At 41.4% G+C, this 16,591-nt stretch overlaps 3 annotated features.

Annotated features, from left to right (window-relative positions):
* Window positions 1,401-2,314: an enhancer, noted in NCBI's record as "NANOG-H3K27ac-H3K4me1 hESC enhancer chr10:60727069-60727982 (GRCh37/hg19 assembly coordinates)". NCBI's record gives its function as "activates a minimal SCP1, AML or CMV promoter by ChIP-STARR-seq in naive H9 embryonic stem cells {active_cell/tissue: H9 hESC(naive)}" and the evidence as "EXISTENCE:reporter gene assay evidence [ECO:0000049][PMID:30033119]".
* Window positions 5,147-5,646: an enhancer, noted in NCBI's record as "OCT4-NANOG-H3K4me1 hESC enhancer chr10:60723737-60724236 (GRCh37/hg19 assembly coordinates)". NCBI's record gives its function as "activates a minimal SCP1, AML or CMV promoter by ChIP-STARR-seq in naive and primed H9 embryonic stem cells {active_cell/tissue: H9 hESC(naive and primed)}" and the evidence as "EXISTENCE:reporter gene assay evidence [ECO:0000049][PMID:30033119]".
* Window positions 5,647-6,148: an enhancer, noted in NCBI's record as "OCT4-NANOG-H3K4me1 hESC enhancer chr10:60723235-60723736 (GRCh37/hg19 assembly coordinates)". NCBI's record gives its function as "activates a minimal SCP1, AML or CMV promoter by ChIP-STARR-seq in naive H9 embryonic stem cells {active_cell/tissue: H9 hESC(naive)}" and the evidence as "EXISTENCE:reporter gene assay evidence [ECO:0000049][PMID:30033119]".

Below are 16,591 nucleotides of genomic sequence, written 5' to 3'. Positions count from 1 at the left end.
GCTCCCAGATACTCTTCCAGTTTCATTACACCATAACTATTGTCACCACTTAAGATGCTCCAACATCTATTTGGAAATTGGATTTAGACTCAAAGCTACTTATATCAGGGCCTTGAAAAGAGACTTAGTCACTGAACATTTATTTTCACCATACAATTGCAAATTTCTGATTGTAAATTTGGGGAGGATAAACCTAAAAATTAAGGTCTGTTCTCTCCGGCATAACTTCTGTAGGCATTTTGGTAAGTGAGGCAAGCCAGTGGAAAAGTATTCCAATGCCCCTTGAATTGTAAACTTAGCCGATTCCAAAGGACCTAGAAAAAAATATGATTGATGAACTGTTTTGCCATCCCTTTTAGGCTGAAATCTCCTTAGCAGAAGAGCTAAAAGACTTGGAGTCTAATGCATAGATTGTTAAATGGATGTCAGTGGTGGTGATACACCTACAGAAGGAAAAGCATCCCAAAGCAAAAATTCCAAATAGGAGGCACACATGCTGCCTTTACCATTACACACCCAAGACAGACATCACTAATCAATCAAGCATTGTTCCACCAGAGCCTGGCTCTGGCCTTAAGGCCCCTCCTGAGTGCTCCAGGTAGCCACTACCACTCAAGCAGAGTTGGCAAGCAAATTGAGCTCTATTAGGTGTCCCTGCATTAGAAACAGAGTCAATGCCCTCCTGTTTCCAGACATTAAGGAAAATTCCTCCTACTGCAACCTAGCAATAAAATGATCTCATGTCTAGAACACCACTTAAGCTCAATTTCTGGAGCTGGCAAAACCCTTGGAGAGACTTATTCAACAGTGAAGCAGATTCCTCAGTTTTCCTATTTTCTATATGAAGAACTTGTGTGGTGATCCCATCTGGTCTGTGCCTCCAGCTCCTCCTCTGGAGGTACTGGATAGTGGGGGGTTCTCCCCCTTTCTCTTCAACAGGACTTCTATGCTTTGAATTCTTGCATTAAATGTGCAGCCCTACCCCCAATTTCTGCTTCTTCTTCCTTAATTATGTAGCTCTCCTCTGCTTTCCTCGAACCAGAATCCTCCTAGGTCCCCAAGAGCACCCTCCCCAGGGAGCACTTGATGACAGTATTGTCAAATTCTTCAAAGGCAAGGAGGGGTAAGAAACACAAGCTCATCCATCCCTGTTTCTTTTTTTCACCCTGTGATTTCCACTCACAATAAGCAGCCTTACAGGTTATCAAACACCCCACTGTACTTTGACAGTTATTCATCCATTAAAGCCTCTGATTGCCTGGCATAATTAGGGACTGTCCTCAGACTCCATAAACATGGCTCCTCCACTTCTCTCAGGAACCGGCTTGCTTTACACCTAAGCTTGCCAGGAAGGAGGAAAACCCAGCTCATTCAAACAGCTCAGCTACAGGTGAGCCAGCCACATCAGAACATGGGAGGGGGAGAAAACAGCACGCTTTTTATCAAAAGAAAAATGATTTACGCAGCTGATTCCCCCAAATTTTAGATAGGATCTTAGGGAGATTTTTCACTTTGGACCAAAGCTATCTGGAGCTTGCAAAATCCTGGAAGAGACCGAATCAAAAGAGCAGATCTCTTCAGTCTCCCTATTTCATTTCAACGCCTCTCTCAGTCCCAGTCAATAACCCAGCTGTACGCTCTGCAGCGAAGCACATTCATCCCGCTTTGTGTCTGGATCGCAGGCTTCAGAGGGGGCTTTTCAGCTTGAATACAAACCGACTGATTGCCTTCCTGCAAGGTTCCCGCACCGGAACGCCCACCTGAGCCCTTGCTCTTCAGCGACAAGTGCAGGAGCTTGCCTGGGTCAAGCCAACTACACAGGGGCCTGAGCCTGCCTGCAGGAATGCACCGTGCTGTGTCACCACCCACTAGGCCAGCGGGCAGGGACAGAGAGAGCAGCCTGCAGCCGCAGAGGGAGGAGCCGAGAGCCTCTGAGTAGGGGAGCTGTGAACCTGGGGACAGAGGAGGTTACAGGGATGCTGAGAAGGCACACGACTCTCCAGGCAGGGCATCTGTGACTCAGCAGAGTTTAATTGCAGTTCCCTGAGGTGTGTGAGTCCAGAGCCATTGACAGAGTTATTATGGCATTTATGCATTCAGGCTTTATCATTAGACAACCCGAGGTGCTAGATCTTTATTCTTAAAATTATTTTTGTTTTAAGATTTTTTTTAAAAAGAGGAAAGCACAAAAATATAAATCTGTGCATACCCTCCAGTCAGAAGACACTACTAACATTGTGCAATGTTTGTTTCAAGTCTTGTTTTGAAACCATAAATGAAGGAAAGCACAACACAAGAAGGTGGACCCCACTTTGCTCCCTTTATCCTCCCTCCCTAGTCCCTTCCCCTGGGCCCAGAAGACACCACTTGTAAGACCTGAACTCACTTCCTTCTAATCCACTTTTAGACTTCTACCCATATAATCAATATAGCAATATAAAGAATATGTAATTTGGGGGCATGTATTTAATAATTTGTATCATTCTGAGCTTCTTCTCTGCAGACTTGTTTTTTTCCATTCCATATTGTGATGTTTTGCTGATTCCACGTTATTGTTTCTATAGAGATCTAGTCCACTCATTTTATCCATTATATGGCATTGGGTCCCATGATTCCTAAGTCCCCACCTGGCCTTAACACTATGCCAGTGGTCCTTAAGCTGCATATTAGAATCACCTGGGGTGCCCAGGTGATGTTAAAAATGCAGGCACCCGGGCTCTGCTCTCGGAGAGTCTGATGGCACTGGTGTAGGGTTGGGCTGGGCATTGCTTTTGTTAGAAATCTCCTTAGGTTGTCTTAATATGCAACTAGGATTAAGAACCCTACCCCCTCCGGATTCTGTGATCCCTGGAAGGAGAATTTCCAATGCCCACCATGCCTTTCCTGGGTATAAGCAGTTTTACATCTTCCAACAGATTTATATAAACCAATATGAATTTGCTAGGGGTACTCCGTGAAATCTGCTGATAGCTGTGTCCGAGGGGTGGCAAAAATCTCTCTCCCTTTATCTTACTGCCAAACAAAAGGTGCTTATGGGCCCTAGTAAGTGGCATACCTTCACCTCTGTTCCCTGGAAGAAATGGAGATGTTCCTATTGATGAGACTATTAGGGAGACTATCAGGTAAGAAAGAAAAGCTGGGAGAGTAGAATGTGAAGGGAATCTGAATTACTCTTTTTTCACTGTGTTGCAGCATGAGAAGAAACTACTGCCAGGTAATTCTGCAGAAAACTGTTTCTGCGTTCCTCCTTCCCTCTCCCTCATTTTATTTGTGCTAGGCTTAGCCTCTCCACAGAAAGACATTTATTAAACTCTCATTTTTAGCTTTGCTAGAGAGAAGAATCATCAAAACCTGGACCTTCTCACTGTGAGGGACAGAGTTCAGGCACCAGGTGGCCTTGATGGTATTTTATATCCTTGTTCTTTCTTCTTTTTTCTTTATGCTAGCCACAGAGGAAATAACCTGGAAAGAATCACATAACAAGGTGTAGCTTAACTCCCTGTCCTTCTTTAATGCATTCAACAAATATTTACTGAGTGCTTAGTAGATGCTAGCCACTGTCCTAGGTCATTGGGATCCCATGGGCCCAACAATCACAGACTTTGCCCTCCAGTTTGGGATATAGGCTAGTACGCAGACAGTGAAACTGCTGCAGCAGAGGGAAACACAAGATACTCTGGAAAAGCAGAAGAGACTAGAAAGAGGAAAATAAAGTTAGTTTTGGGGTCTCAGGAACACTTCCTGCAGGGGCAGTTCTCAAACATGAGTTCTCAAACGTTAGGATCACCTGGAGGACTTTTAAAACACATCCTGCTGGCCCTCACCCTAGAGTTTCTGATTCAATAGGTATGGTTTGAGACCTGAGAGTTTGCATTTCTAGCAAGTTCCCAGGCCATACTAATGCTGCAGGTCTGGAGACCATGCTTTGAGAACCACTGTCTTAGAGGAACTGAAGTCTCAGCCTTTGCTACCCAAAGTATGGTCTGCAGACGAACAATATGAGCCTGCAGCATGAGCCTCACCTAGGAGCTTATTAGAAATGCAGAATTTCAAGTCTTATCCTAGATGTACTCAGTCAGAATCTGCATCAAGATTACCAGGTAATACTTATACACAGTAAAACACTGGTTCTCAAACTTGCTTGCACATTGAAATCACCTGGGGAGTTTAATCAAATCCCCATCCCTGGATTCCATTCCCAGAGATTCTGATTTAATTGGTACAGGGGATGAAAAGCTCTCTGAGACGTTTCTAATGTGTGGTATACTTTAAGAACCACTGACCTAAGCTAAATGCATCCTGGGTAAGAGCGCCACAAAGAAAGGCAGGAAGAGTGTTACAGGCCAACAGAATGTGCAAAGGCTCAGTGGCAAGACAGAACAAAGTGGTTTAGTGAAAGGAGGGTGGGGGTGCACTGAGCTCAGAGTGTAGTTAGAGAGAGGGAAAGTGATGGGTTTTGAGGCTAGAGGTTTTTCCCTGATGATCGAACACACTCAGATTCGCATTTTAAAAATGAACAGTTTGTTGGCCATGTGGAAATAAGCCTAGGGGTGTGGAAACAATGTGCCTGGTGTTAAGGTTGAAATTTTGACTGTATAGAAACATTTATTGTTGCTCTTACTGAGAATTATTCATTTCCAGGAACAGTGCTCTTTAAACTAAAGATAAGGGCTAAAGGATAGGGGTGGAGGCAAAGAAAAGCAGTGCTGAAGGGTAGCAGAGTATGCCACCCCAAAATATGCCACTTTAACATAAGGATTATTTTGAGCTGAAGCTTCATTGAGAAGAAGCAGATACAAGAAAAGCTCTCTGCCTAAAAGCAGGACATAAGTTTGTAAAGGTGTTCCCCCTCCCCTCTCTACCTGAAAGGACAGAAATTAATCACTGAAGACAACTCTAGACCTTTATCAGCCCAGAGGCAGACCTTGCTAAAAACAACCCTTATTTTCCATTAGTTCCCCCAATATATTTACCTTTCCACAATTTACCAGTGCCTAGAAGCTCTAAGTCCTTTTCCCTTGTCTTGTCCCTTCTCTCCTAATTCATTGTTCTCAAGATGCTATAGAAGCTGAAATTTTAACTACCCCTTTAAGTCACTCGCTACTGAGTACCCCCATGGCCATGGGCATTGAATATACTAACAAACTTCTGTTTTGTTTTGTTTTGTTTTCTAGTTAACCTGACTTTTGTCAGTCTCATTTACAGGCCTGCAGAAGGAGAACCAAACAGGGTAGAGGAAGAAGATGTTGTTTCCTCTCCTGTGCTACCAACCAATCTATAAGGCTTCATTTTGGCACTTTGGCTTTCACTGTTTGATTTAACCAATATTTACTGAGCATTATGTACCAAGCCCACTGCTGTGGAAGCTGAATCCAGATCTCTGATGCCCTCCCTTAGCAAAGAGTTGAAAGTTGGGGGAACTCAGACAACAAGTGATTTTTCTAAAGAGCATTAGTTTGAGTCTGGTTGAAAATTTGACAGTGCCGTTTAATGGGAGGATTCTGTGCCATCCAACTCCACTTAAGCCCTTAGCTAAGCCATCAAATGGCCCCATTCATGCTGCAGCTGCAGAATTCCTGAGGCCATGCCAGTGGGCCCCAGGAATGCAAACGAGGGCTCGGTCTTGGCTTCTGACACCCTGTGAGCTTTGAGGAAGAACAAGTAGGCATTTGTTAGGGGAAGGCCCACAAAGGCACCACAGGAGAGGGGATTGAATGCCCCATGGGATTCCAGGCCAAATGCAAAAGGCTGGTGTAATCTCTGCCACCACAGCTTGTGTGACCTCACTTGCTCGCTGGCTGTGGGGGCAGCTGATAGCCCAGCCTGCTGAGGCAGGGTCCCTAAACAGAGCAGGGGTGGCAGCTCTTCAGGAATACAGTCTGTACTCTATTACCCACCAGGTAAGGATTATGTGAAGCCAAGCCATGTAAAGGAAGCAAAGACTTTGAAAGGCAAGAGGAGGATAAAAGCATTTTTTTTCCTGCAATCTCTGGGACATTCCTCCCATCTGTACCCAAGAGGGAGGTAGTGAAAAAAGAACATGGGTTGCAGGTAGAATAACCTTAAAAGGCTTACAGAAAGCAGCAGAAAATCAAACCATTTCTAGAACATTCTTTGTGAAATTCAGTTCTCCCCATAACTCAGATATTGTCAATTTGCTCTTGAAGTTCGATTTTGCTGTAGTTGCCAGTGATATGGTTGCTTATATTACCCAAAGGCTATGTTCTGACATCATGGAGCAGCACCCCCAATGGCACTCTGGGTATTAGCACCTTTACATATTATATGGTGACTTAGACTATGCATACAGAACAGAATTACTCAGCCTCAGCACTGTTGACACTTTGCACAACGTAATTCTTTGTTGTAGGGGCTGTTCTGTGCATTTTATGTGTTTAGTAGCATCTTTGGCCTCTATTCAGTAGATGCCAATAGCGCCCCTCCTGGTCATGCTGTTGAAAATATCTCCAGGAATTGCCACCTGTTCTCTGGGGACAAAATTGCCCTCAGTTAGGAACCATTGGTATAGAGGAAAGGTGGAAGAAGATTTTGTTTTAAAATCCTTCAAGAGAACAAAAGAGGAATTGTTAGTCTTTGTTGCTTACAATTAGTAGTTTCCCTACAGGAATGAAGTCTTCAATACCCGTAGAGTTGCATAGGATTTTTACCTTCAACATAAAATAGAAGTCCTACATAATAAGAAAACAGCAAGCCACAGTTACCATTGGTTGATTCAGTCAAATCAGCCCAACAGTTTGTTGATGTTCACTGGACATTGTCTTCGCTTCAACTATATGCTCACTATTGTTCTAGGTGCTCGTGCAGTCCACACACTGTCGGAATAATTTGATTAAACAATAATGCCCAAAAGATTGCCTTTGGGAGGGCTTTAATGGTGTTACGCAGGAAAATAATGGAGCTGTAGAATACAGAAGTTATTTTCAGCTGGACCCTGAGGTGGAAATGACTTTTTCCATGCCCCAAAGTTTCAAAATACTTCTCTCATTGTCATAATGCACAAAATATGGCTGATCACACAGAGAAAGCATAACTGTGAAAGTGAACCCAGATATAAGAATTTAGGAGCCGGGAGAGACAGAAAAACAGAAAGACAGGCAGATCTACAATAACAAGCAGCCAACTTAATTAAGAAGAATATCAAGCAGTCTGCATTTTAGAAAGCAGAAAACAAAATCCTACAGAAGCAAGAGATGAAGCCTTGGTCTTTTGAACAACTTGAAAAATTATATCAGCAAAAATGTAAGAATATTCTCTGAAATGTAAACTACAAGGGCAGAGATTCTTTCTTCTCTTTTGTTCATATCTTTACCTAGGCCTTTCTCCCTAGTGTCTAGAACAATGTCTGGTGCTGGTAGGTACTCAATAAATATTTGTTAAATGAATTCTGCAATTATTAATAACGGACCTGAAATAAGAAACCTAAGTGTTGTCTATACTCTATGGGATCCACAGAGAAGAACTAGACTATGTTAGCACTAAGATTATTACCTCAAAATGCTCAAAGACCAGTAAGCATATGTCTACATAACTCATGAGATAACTTGAAGGGGATTCTAATGACCAATTTTAAACAAATGGAGGGGGCAAATGAAAATATTGGATATGTACATTGAATAAAAACTAATCCATAAGTTCACAGTGATAAGGAGAAAAAAGAGAGATGGAACAAAATATAGAGAAAGCTCTTTTTTTCTTTATAAAAGAATGCCAGATAGTAAATAGAATGATAGAATTAGGAAAATCTCCACTTTCAAATATCAGTGTAATCATTGATTCAGACATGGATTATCAATGTTTCTAATGCTATTGGGCAAAAGTTATTGGGGATCAGCATATTTAGATAGTCTCAAACATCACCCCATGTATTTATTATAAAGGGGAAAGGTAAACTTATGGTGGAGAGACCTGGTAGATTCTAACCTAACCAAATGATCAAACTTAGCATTACCAATAGTGGAATATGATGCCTGTTGTCATTCAGTGGGAAGTATATGATGTCACTATATTAGTTATCTGATGTTGCATAATAAATACCCCAAGAACTTGGTGGCTTAAAACAATAGTAATCATTTATTATTAAGGTTTTGGCTAGGAAGTTCTAGCTTGAGGTCTCTCATGAGATTGTAATCAGAGGTCAGTGAGGACTACAGTAATCTGAAGGCCTGACTGGGGATGGCTTACTGACTTTCAAAATGCCACATGGCTGGACATTTGGTCTGAGAAAGTTGGTTCTTCTCCACCTGGGCCTTTCCCCAGGGCTGCCTGAGTGCCTTTACAGCATCACAGCTGGCTTCTCCTAGATCTAGTGAACCAAGAGCTCAGAGCAAAGGCCACAATGTCTTTATATCTAGATTTGGAAATTACAAATCATCACATCCACAGTATTCTATTGGTCATACAGGCCAGACCTGTTTTAATGTGGCATTGAAGTGACATCATTGTCTGGGGTAAATACCCGGGATTCATCATCTCACACCAAGAAAATTAAAAACACAGAAACTTGGGTGGGTTAAGGAGCAGAAAGTTTAATAGGCAGAAGAAAGGAGAGAGGAGAGCAGCTCTCTCTCTTTTGTGAGAGAGAGGCAACCAAAAGGGAAAAGCTGGCCTGTGGCTGACCACAGCAGATTTTATAGGCAGGCTTGAGGAGGTGGGGTCTGATTTACTAGGGCCCACAGATTGGTTCAACCAGGTGTGATGTTTACATAGCAGGCAGGGAAGGCTGGTTGCCCTACCCTAATCTTATTACATAAATGGGCTTTCCACTTGGCCAGTGCCATCTTGTCTGCTCCTTATTGTACATGTGGCTGGCAAAGAGAAGGGAAGATGGAGACACCATTTTGAACATGCCTAATTCCAGGTAGCCTTTTCCTATTGGTGTAACTGCCAGCATTCACCTGTGCAAGCTTCCAGCTTGCTTATCTATGTCTGCAGCTCGATTTTACAGGTTGCTCTTTGTTAGAAAAGAAAATAATTTGGGGGCTGCTTTTCATTAAAAGGAAAACCTTACCAAGGACTTCCTTACCCTCACTATCTGCCTAAATAATTTCTTTTTAACTCCTATATCAGCATGGCCATGTTACCACAAAAGCATGGCCACTAGGATGTGAAGATCATTGGGAACCATTTAGAGGCTGCTTTTGAAATCAATCATCTTGGTTTTTTTGACAAAAACGTTCAAACTCAATCTAATCACAAAGAAATAACGGACAAACCCAGGATGAAGAACATTCCACAAGACAATCTTCTCAAACTTTAAAAGAAAAAGTCATGAGAGATATTTTTTAAAAGCAGGATTGTTGTTAATTAAAGGACACCAAAGAGAAAGGACAGCCAAATATAATGCATGACACTTAATTTGATCCTGGAATGAAAAAAAAAAGAAAAGCTGGGGACAATCGGCATAATTTAAATATGAACTATGTATTAGGCAATATTACTGTGTTAATATGTCCACAAACCTTTGTTCAGGAATGTTCATAAGGGCCAAAAACTCAACACAGCCAGAGGAGATGAATAACAAACTGAGCTATATTTAGATAATATAATAATAATCAGCAATAAAAAGGAATGAATTAATACACCCTACAACATGGATGAATCTCAGAAATATTATGACAGGAAGAAAGTTTAACTATAATATACAAAATGTATGACTCCATTTATATGAAGTTCTAGAAGAGGCAAAATGAATTGGTGGTGATAGAAATCAGATCAGTGGTTGCTTCTGGGAGTAAAGAGGAGTTGACTGGAAAGGTGTATGAGGGAATCTTCTGGGATGATGGAGATGCCCTTTGGCTTGATAGGGGCATGGATTATACAAGTATATTCATTGGTTAAAACTGATTGAACCATACACTCATAATTGGTATATTTCACTGTATGTGAATATCTAAAAATCTGTTTAAAAATTGTATCAATGTTAAATTCTTTGGATATAATAACAATATTGTAGTTAGGAGATATGCCCTAAAATATTGATGGGTGAAGCATTATAATGCCTGAAATTTATTTTAAATGGCTCTGGAGGAAAGAAGCAGATATAAAGAGAGAAAAAGCATGTGAGGCAACATTTAATAATTGGTATATCTAGGGGAAGGATAGTAGCTTTTATAAGCTTTTCTGTAGATCTGAAAATTTTCAAAGTAAGAGAAGGGAAAAAATCATCAAAACAGTACAAACAAAAACAAAAACAAAACTATTCTCTTAGCTATCATTTCCTCAATAAGAGGAATGGGAAATTTAAATCAATACTACATTCTACTTACTCTGTCACATGTAAGAATGTCCAGTTCCGCCATAGATTCCTTATTATAAAATGTGTTTAGCTGTTCATTTCATTCTTTTGAAAGGGCAAAAAAAAATTAAAAATTATCTCAGAAGAACACTGGTCAAAGGTAGCAACTTGCTGGGCTACTGCTTTGACTTAACCAGGTCCCATCTAACATTTACTGGAAATACATAAACTTCCACTTACCTAAAATTTGCACTACTTTTAAAATCTTTTCAACTGCCTGGAAATACCTATTTCCCAAGGCTTCTGCACAAGCTAATTGGTAGCTCAAATGATTTGCCAAATGATCAACATTTGATCTGATTTGCATTCCAGGATGATCAAGCATAAACTGGGTCTGGAAGCTTCATTGATAGAGTGCCTGCCATAAATGTCACAGGTGAGAAAGGGCAAGTGCCTGGCCTGTTCTTGGATAACTTCCCATGGAGGCAAAAGGCAGAGCAGCTTTAACTCACTGTGTAGATTATACTGTCTCTCAGGATGTCAGAGGGGTGAGAAAGCAAAGATGTGAATTTATAACGTAAATGTGTGAAAAGAAAAGGGTATGCCAGGTTCAAGAGAGATTTACTACGAAGATTTGTTTTAGAGGAAGTGCATTCAGAAATTGCGGGCACCAAATTTTGGTACTCTTGGCTCAAAAGGCAATAGGGAAACAACATTTTTCGGTTACATGGTGTACATGGCAGATAAAAAGTAGGGGTACCAGATGAAGTTTCTGTCAAGGAATTAGCAAGATAGTTAAGGAGGCTGCAGGAAAGTTTTGGGATATCAGGCAAACATCTTCTGGAAAAACACTATAAGAACAACCCTGAATGGTTGGCTAATAATGAGAAAAAGTTAGTTATTTCCTGAACTACCTTCTGCTTCTGGGTAACAGTAGTGGAAAGAGGATGTCTGACACCTTAAGGATGGTGTAAAAATTGTGTTTTTCCATGAAGATGGTGATTCTCTTAGAAAACCTAGAGGCACAGCTGATTTCATGCACAGGTTGAACAGGTAACCACCAGGGCATGGATTTTTAAGAATGCTTAAGAATTCTCCATCCTTGGCTTTAGATTTCCACTACAGCATCACTCCTATGGATTACTAACAATGCATTGAATTTATAAAGTGCTTTAAGTTTATCAAGCACTTTCACATACCCTTCCACATCTGGACCTCACTACTCTGTAAGGTATAAACAGTGGGGATTTAAACCTGTTTTATAATGAGGATCTTAAAGCTTAAAGCCCAAGGTCACATAGCCAAGACTCAAGTTCTATCTTCCAATTCCTCTTTCCATTATGCTGCTTGATAGACAGGCAGGTACAATGGCTAGGTAGGGAAGGTTGGCTCTGGTGTGCCTTGTAGACTCCCCTCAGCATGGTAACTTGGACAGGTTTAGCAGATTAGATAGCTAGAGACTTACTGGCAAAAAAAAAAAAAAAAAAATCTGTTCTTAAAGGACAAAGGGAAAAAGGATGTATATTTTCTATGGAAGTATCTATTTATTTTGGCCAGAAGAGGAAGATCAGGCATGGGTAGGGAATTCTGATCGGCACATGAGGTCTAGAATTGTGTGTGTATGAAGCACATGGACCAAAAAAAAGTAACCTGAGACTATGACCAATCTTGGAGAAAGGACTGTATCCAGCAGGTGACACCAAAGGCTAAGTGTCCATTATATCTTTCAGCCAAGGGTAATCTGAGGATAGCATTTTACTGTTTCTTCTCAAGGGAATTGACTTTCCTAAAAGAATACATTTCAGCAGGCTAAGAAATTCCTGGGCATTCAAGTAGATAGTTATTTCTTTATTCACCTTGCTTCTCCTGCTTGCTTTAATATGCAGTGTAGAGGAAATTAGATCTCACTGGTAATTAGAGGTGGGTTCAACTCACTGCCCTGGTAGGTCTGTGCCACAGCTCCCACGTGACCTTCAGCTGTTCTGAGTTTGCTTCAGTTATCTGGGAACTGAGGGAGACTTCTTAAAATAAGTGTCTCCTAGCACTAACATTTTCTGCTTCAGTGGAACGAGATGTAGAAAATGGTTCTCCTTGGTCCCTTCTGTAGCCGGCCTTTTGAAGTCATCTAGCAGATACACATGCTCCCATTTTGTCTATCTAGAAGCTCCTGGGCATGTGCAGAGGAAATTCCATTGTCCTGATGATCACAGTTCCACTGGGAAAGTGTTGTGATCTTCATTGATCTTCATTTCTACTGCTTCTTTCCCTTCCCCTCAGCATTCCAGTGACAATAGTCACTGCTCTGAAATTCATTATTCTTCAGATAGCCAAAGAACCCTTTAGGCTCCTTTCTGGAATCTTTCCTTGGACCTCTTGGAAGCTGTGATCTGGCCTTAGTAACATGAGATATACCAGAGATTTTTTTCACTACTACTACTTTGTGTGTTAGTTGGCTAATCATTCACTTTCTATACAGAATGGAAACAATTTTATTTTTTGAGTGGAGAAGAGGGTAGAGTTTAATTAATGCACTGAGAGTTGTCCTGGGAGCTAGTGGTTATGTGTAATGTGTAGGAAAGTCATCTCTCCTGTTTCTTCCAGAGGAAAAATTTCATGACTGATAGCATCATCCATGATTGTCTCCAATGGTGGGCGTTGCAGGCCAGGAAAGTGTGAAGTGTGGTGTGGGGGAGCATTTTGACCTACTGATGGGTTGGGCTGGCTCTAAGCACTCTGATTCTAGTTGAAATGGGTTCTAGTTGAAGGAATCTGGCCAACCCACTGTTGAGTCCTTATTTTTATCATCTCTAATTTATTTTGCTGCCTAGGGATGGGGGCATGGCCGAGTTATTAAAATAAATAATCTCGTGAATTTTATGTGTGAGTATGTATGAAACTGTAACAATATGATTACATCTGGAGCATAAATATTTATGAACACTAGTAAAACTGTCTACAACTCTGGCCTCACATCTCCAAACAGATCCTCATTATATTTATCACAACCTACAGTTAGACATATGGTTAGATCAAGCAAGGAGATGGCTAAAAAATATTATAAATACCTGGCCTCTGTATTCTGCTAAACTGCAGCCAGGCCCCTGAAGATAAACAGTTCGTGATTTTTTTTTCCTTCTTTTTTTTTTTTGACTGGGTGCTATATATGTCACTACAAGCTAAATGAAAAATTCCCAGTAGCCCCAAAGTATCTCTAATTTCTCACACACAGAAATGCATTATGTAAATGTGCTTAGCTTTACCTAAAGGCAGTAAAAAAAAGAGTCATTAATTCTGCATTTTGCATGCTTTGAGCAAATATCTAGGCACATAATACTCACTATTCTGGGCATTTAAAATAAAACTGGGCAGGGGGACAGTGTATGAACTAGTCATGTGAGTTCACAGATATAACTTTGTCTACCTTCAACTTCATGGCCACTGTAAGATATTCAGTAGATTACAGACCTAACCTCGCTTTTAAAATTATGTGATTGCTTGTCTTCAGACTGTAATTCTTTGAAACCTAATACCTGTCTTGGTTTTACAGCCAGAAAATCCATAATGGCATGTTATTTGTTCCCTCTACTAAGTGGAAACACTCTGGGAGCTAATTCATAGTGTCATTTGCTAAGCAGCCATGTTATTGAAGAGCCCAGATATTCAGAGAAAAATGATTGCTTAATTGATAGGGAACCATGATGAGTGAGGGTTTGGTAGACAAAGTAAGGGGTGGCACAGGCCTCTTCAGCCAGCTCCATGTTTCTTTTGGTTCATAGTGTTGCCAATTCTTGCACTAAAAAGTGGCAATCCCAGTGTGTGACACACAGCTAGCTAGCTCTGATTACTGTTAAGGAGAATAAATCAAATGGTACACTGACGTGAGAGACGCTGTTGTGTCACTGACAGGCTACTTGCCACCATATTAAGTGTTGGCTAGTGAAGGATGGATAATTAATCCCCAAAATGCAGTGAATATTCTTTTGATCTAAACTAATCAAAGCTAATATTGATGATCATTTTCTGCTCATCCACTTTTTTGGGGCTCAGAACACAGTACTCCGAAGTATGGCACCTTGGCACACTGTACTCCAGTCCTTTGAACTAAATGAAGGACATTGGAAGGGTCTCAGAAGCAAGTTCTCTCTGATCTCCTCCTGCCGTCCTTTCTCCTATCCCTTTTGCTCCCCAAAAGAAAGATGTAGAAACCAGAATTCCTCTTCCCTAAGGCGAGTTATAGGAACTGGAATCCTTCTCTCCCCAAAGCAAGCCATAAAACCTAGAAAAGTTATTCTTTCCCTTCTCCCTTTGTTACTGGTGTCAAATCCATATCCATACAGGTCTACAGCAATCTCAATTCTTGCCTCCTCAGAAGAAAGAATTCAAGCAAGGGGCATAAGGCAGGAGAAGAGACCGAGGCAAGTTTTAGAGCAGGAGTGAACGTTAATTAAAAAGCTTTAGATCAGAAATAAAAGGAAATAAACTATACTTAGAAGAGGGCCAAGCAGGTGACTTGAGAGATCAAGTGTGCAGTTTGACCTTTTGACTTGGGGTTTTATGCATTGGCATACTTCTGGTGTCTTGCATTACTTCTCCCCTGATTCTTCCTTTGGAGCAGGCTGCCAAGGTGTGCAGTAGCCTGCTAGCACCTGGGAGGGGAACATGCGCAGTGTGTTTACTGGAGTTGTACGCATGTTCACTTGAGGTATTCTTCCCTTACCAGTCTAGCATTCCTAGAGGAAAGTCATATACCAGTTAAACTCTGCCATTTTACCTCTTAATGTGCATGTTTGAGCCCACTCACCAAACTCCTGAAATCTTATTGAGAAGCTGCCGCTCACCAGTTTCAGATTTTTTCTATCTGTTGGGAAACTGCCCTTACCTGGTGCCGGTTCTGACAAATTATTTTATAGAGAGAGCTAACAGTTGCCTCACCATCACCTGATGGTCACCTGACATTCCATTCCTCATGTGTGTATGTGGGGAAGGCTGAACCCTCTCCTGCCCTGCTTATGCCTGACTAGCTACCTACTGAAACATCTTAAAGACCCTCATTCCAGAGGGTCCTGCCCCATACCTGGGAAGAAGGAATGCTGCACAGAGAGGCCAAGAAGAATCTGAACAGACAGGCCTTGCTGGGTTCTCCACCTGAGTCTATTACCATTAGATCATACCCTTTTGTTTAATCACATTTCTACATGGCTGTCTATTCTTCAATAAACCTAAGCATAGAAACAGTTTTCTCTGGGTCTTTGAGTCTTCATTTCTGAAGCCTCCTATAATGTAAAACTTTGATTAAATACATTTATTATTATTTTCTCTTGTTAATCTGACTTTTGTTATAGGAGTGTCAGCCGTGACCTTTATGATGGGTGAGGAAAGGCATCACACCTTTTTTCTCCTACAACTTCCCAGTCAAAATGAGCCTATTCTCTCTTTTACTGTCATACCAGGCTTCTTTTTTTTTTTTTTTTAACTCTGTCACCAGGCTGGAGTGCAATGGCGAGATCTTGGTTCACTGCAACCTCTGTCTCCTGAGCTCAAGGGATTCTCCTGCCTCAGCCTCCTGAGTAGCTGGGACTACAGGTGTGCACCACCATGCCCAGCTAATTTTTGTATTTTTAGTAGAGATGGGGTTTCACCATGTTGGCCAGCATAACAGGCTTCTTTACTCACCAAGATGCCTGCTAACAAATCTGATAAAAATCACCCTTATCAACAACATCATGGAGAAATCAAGAATTCTATGAAATCAGCGTTCTCCTTTGCATGGTCGATAGCCCCCATGAGATCTGGTTTCCTCATCTCATACTACTCCCTGCCTGGTTCAATGCCATAGTCATTCCAGCTTCTTTTAGCTCCTGCACTGATCTTTTCCCTCTCTCTCCCTATGCAGCTTCACACCTACTGTTTCTTCTGCCTGAACTTCTCTCCTCAACTAATTTCCTGTCTGCTAAGCCAGCCCTCACTCATTCTCATACATCCAGTACTTCACAGGGAAGTTATCCCTGTCACTCCTCCTCTAGCATCCATGTTACATTGTCTAGTATGTACTTCTCAGTAGACTTGCACCACAGTGACAACTACTTGTTCAGTGGCTGTCTCATTCCTCTGGGGGATGAGATTCCTGAGTGCAGGGACTGTCTCTTTTGTTTATCTCTGTATCCCCAGCACTGAGCCCAAGACCTGGAACACACTGAACATCAGACAAATCGTTGTTGAATGAATTAATCAGAGTTAGTGAGAGAGGAAATGCATGGTTTGCCCCAATGGAGATATATTGCCTTTCCAAGCACAGTTTAAAAGATGGTCATTGGGCAAGTATGGAGTCCTCATTAA

The sequence above is a fragment of the Homo sapiens genome, chromosome 10 (assembly GCF_000001405.40).
Source record: "Homo sapiens chromosome 10, GRCh38.p14 Primary Assembly".
NCBI lineage: Eukaryota > Metazoa > Chordata > Mammalia > Primates > Hominidae > Homo > Homo sapiens.
This window is presented reverse-complemented; position numbering and strand designations above follow the sequence as displayed.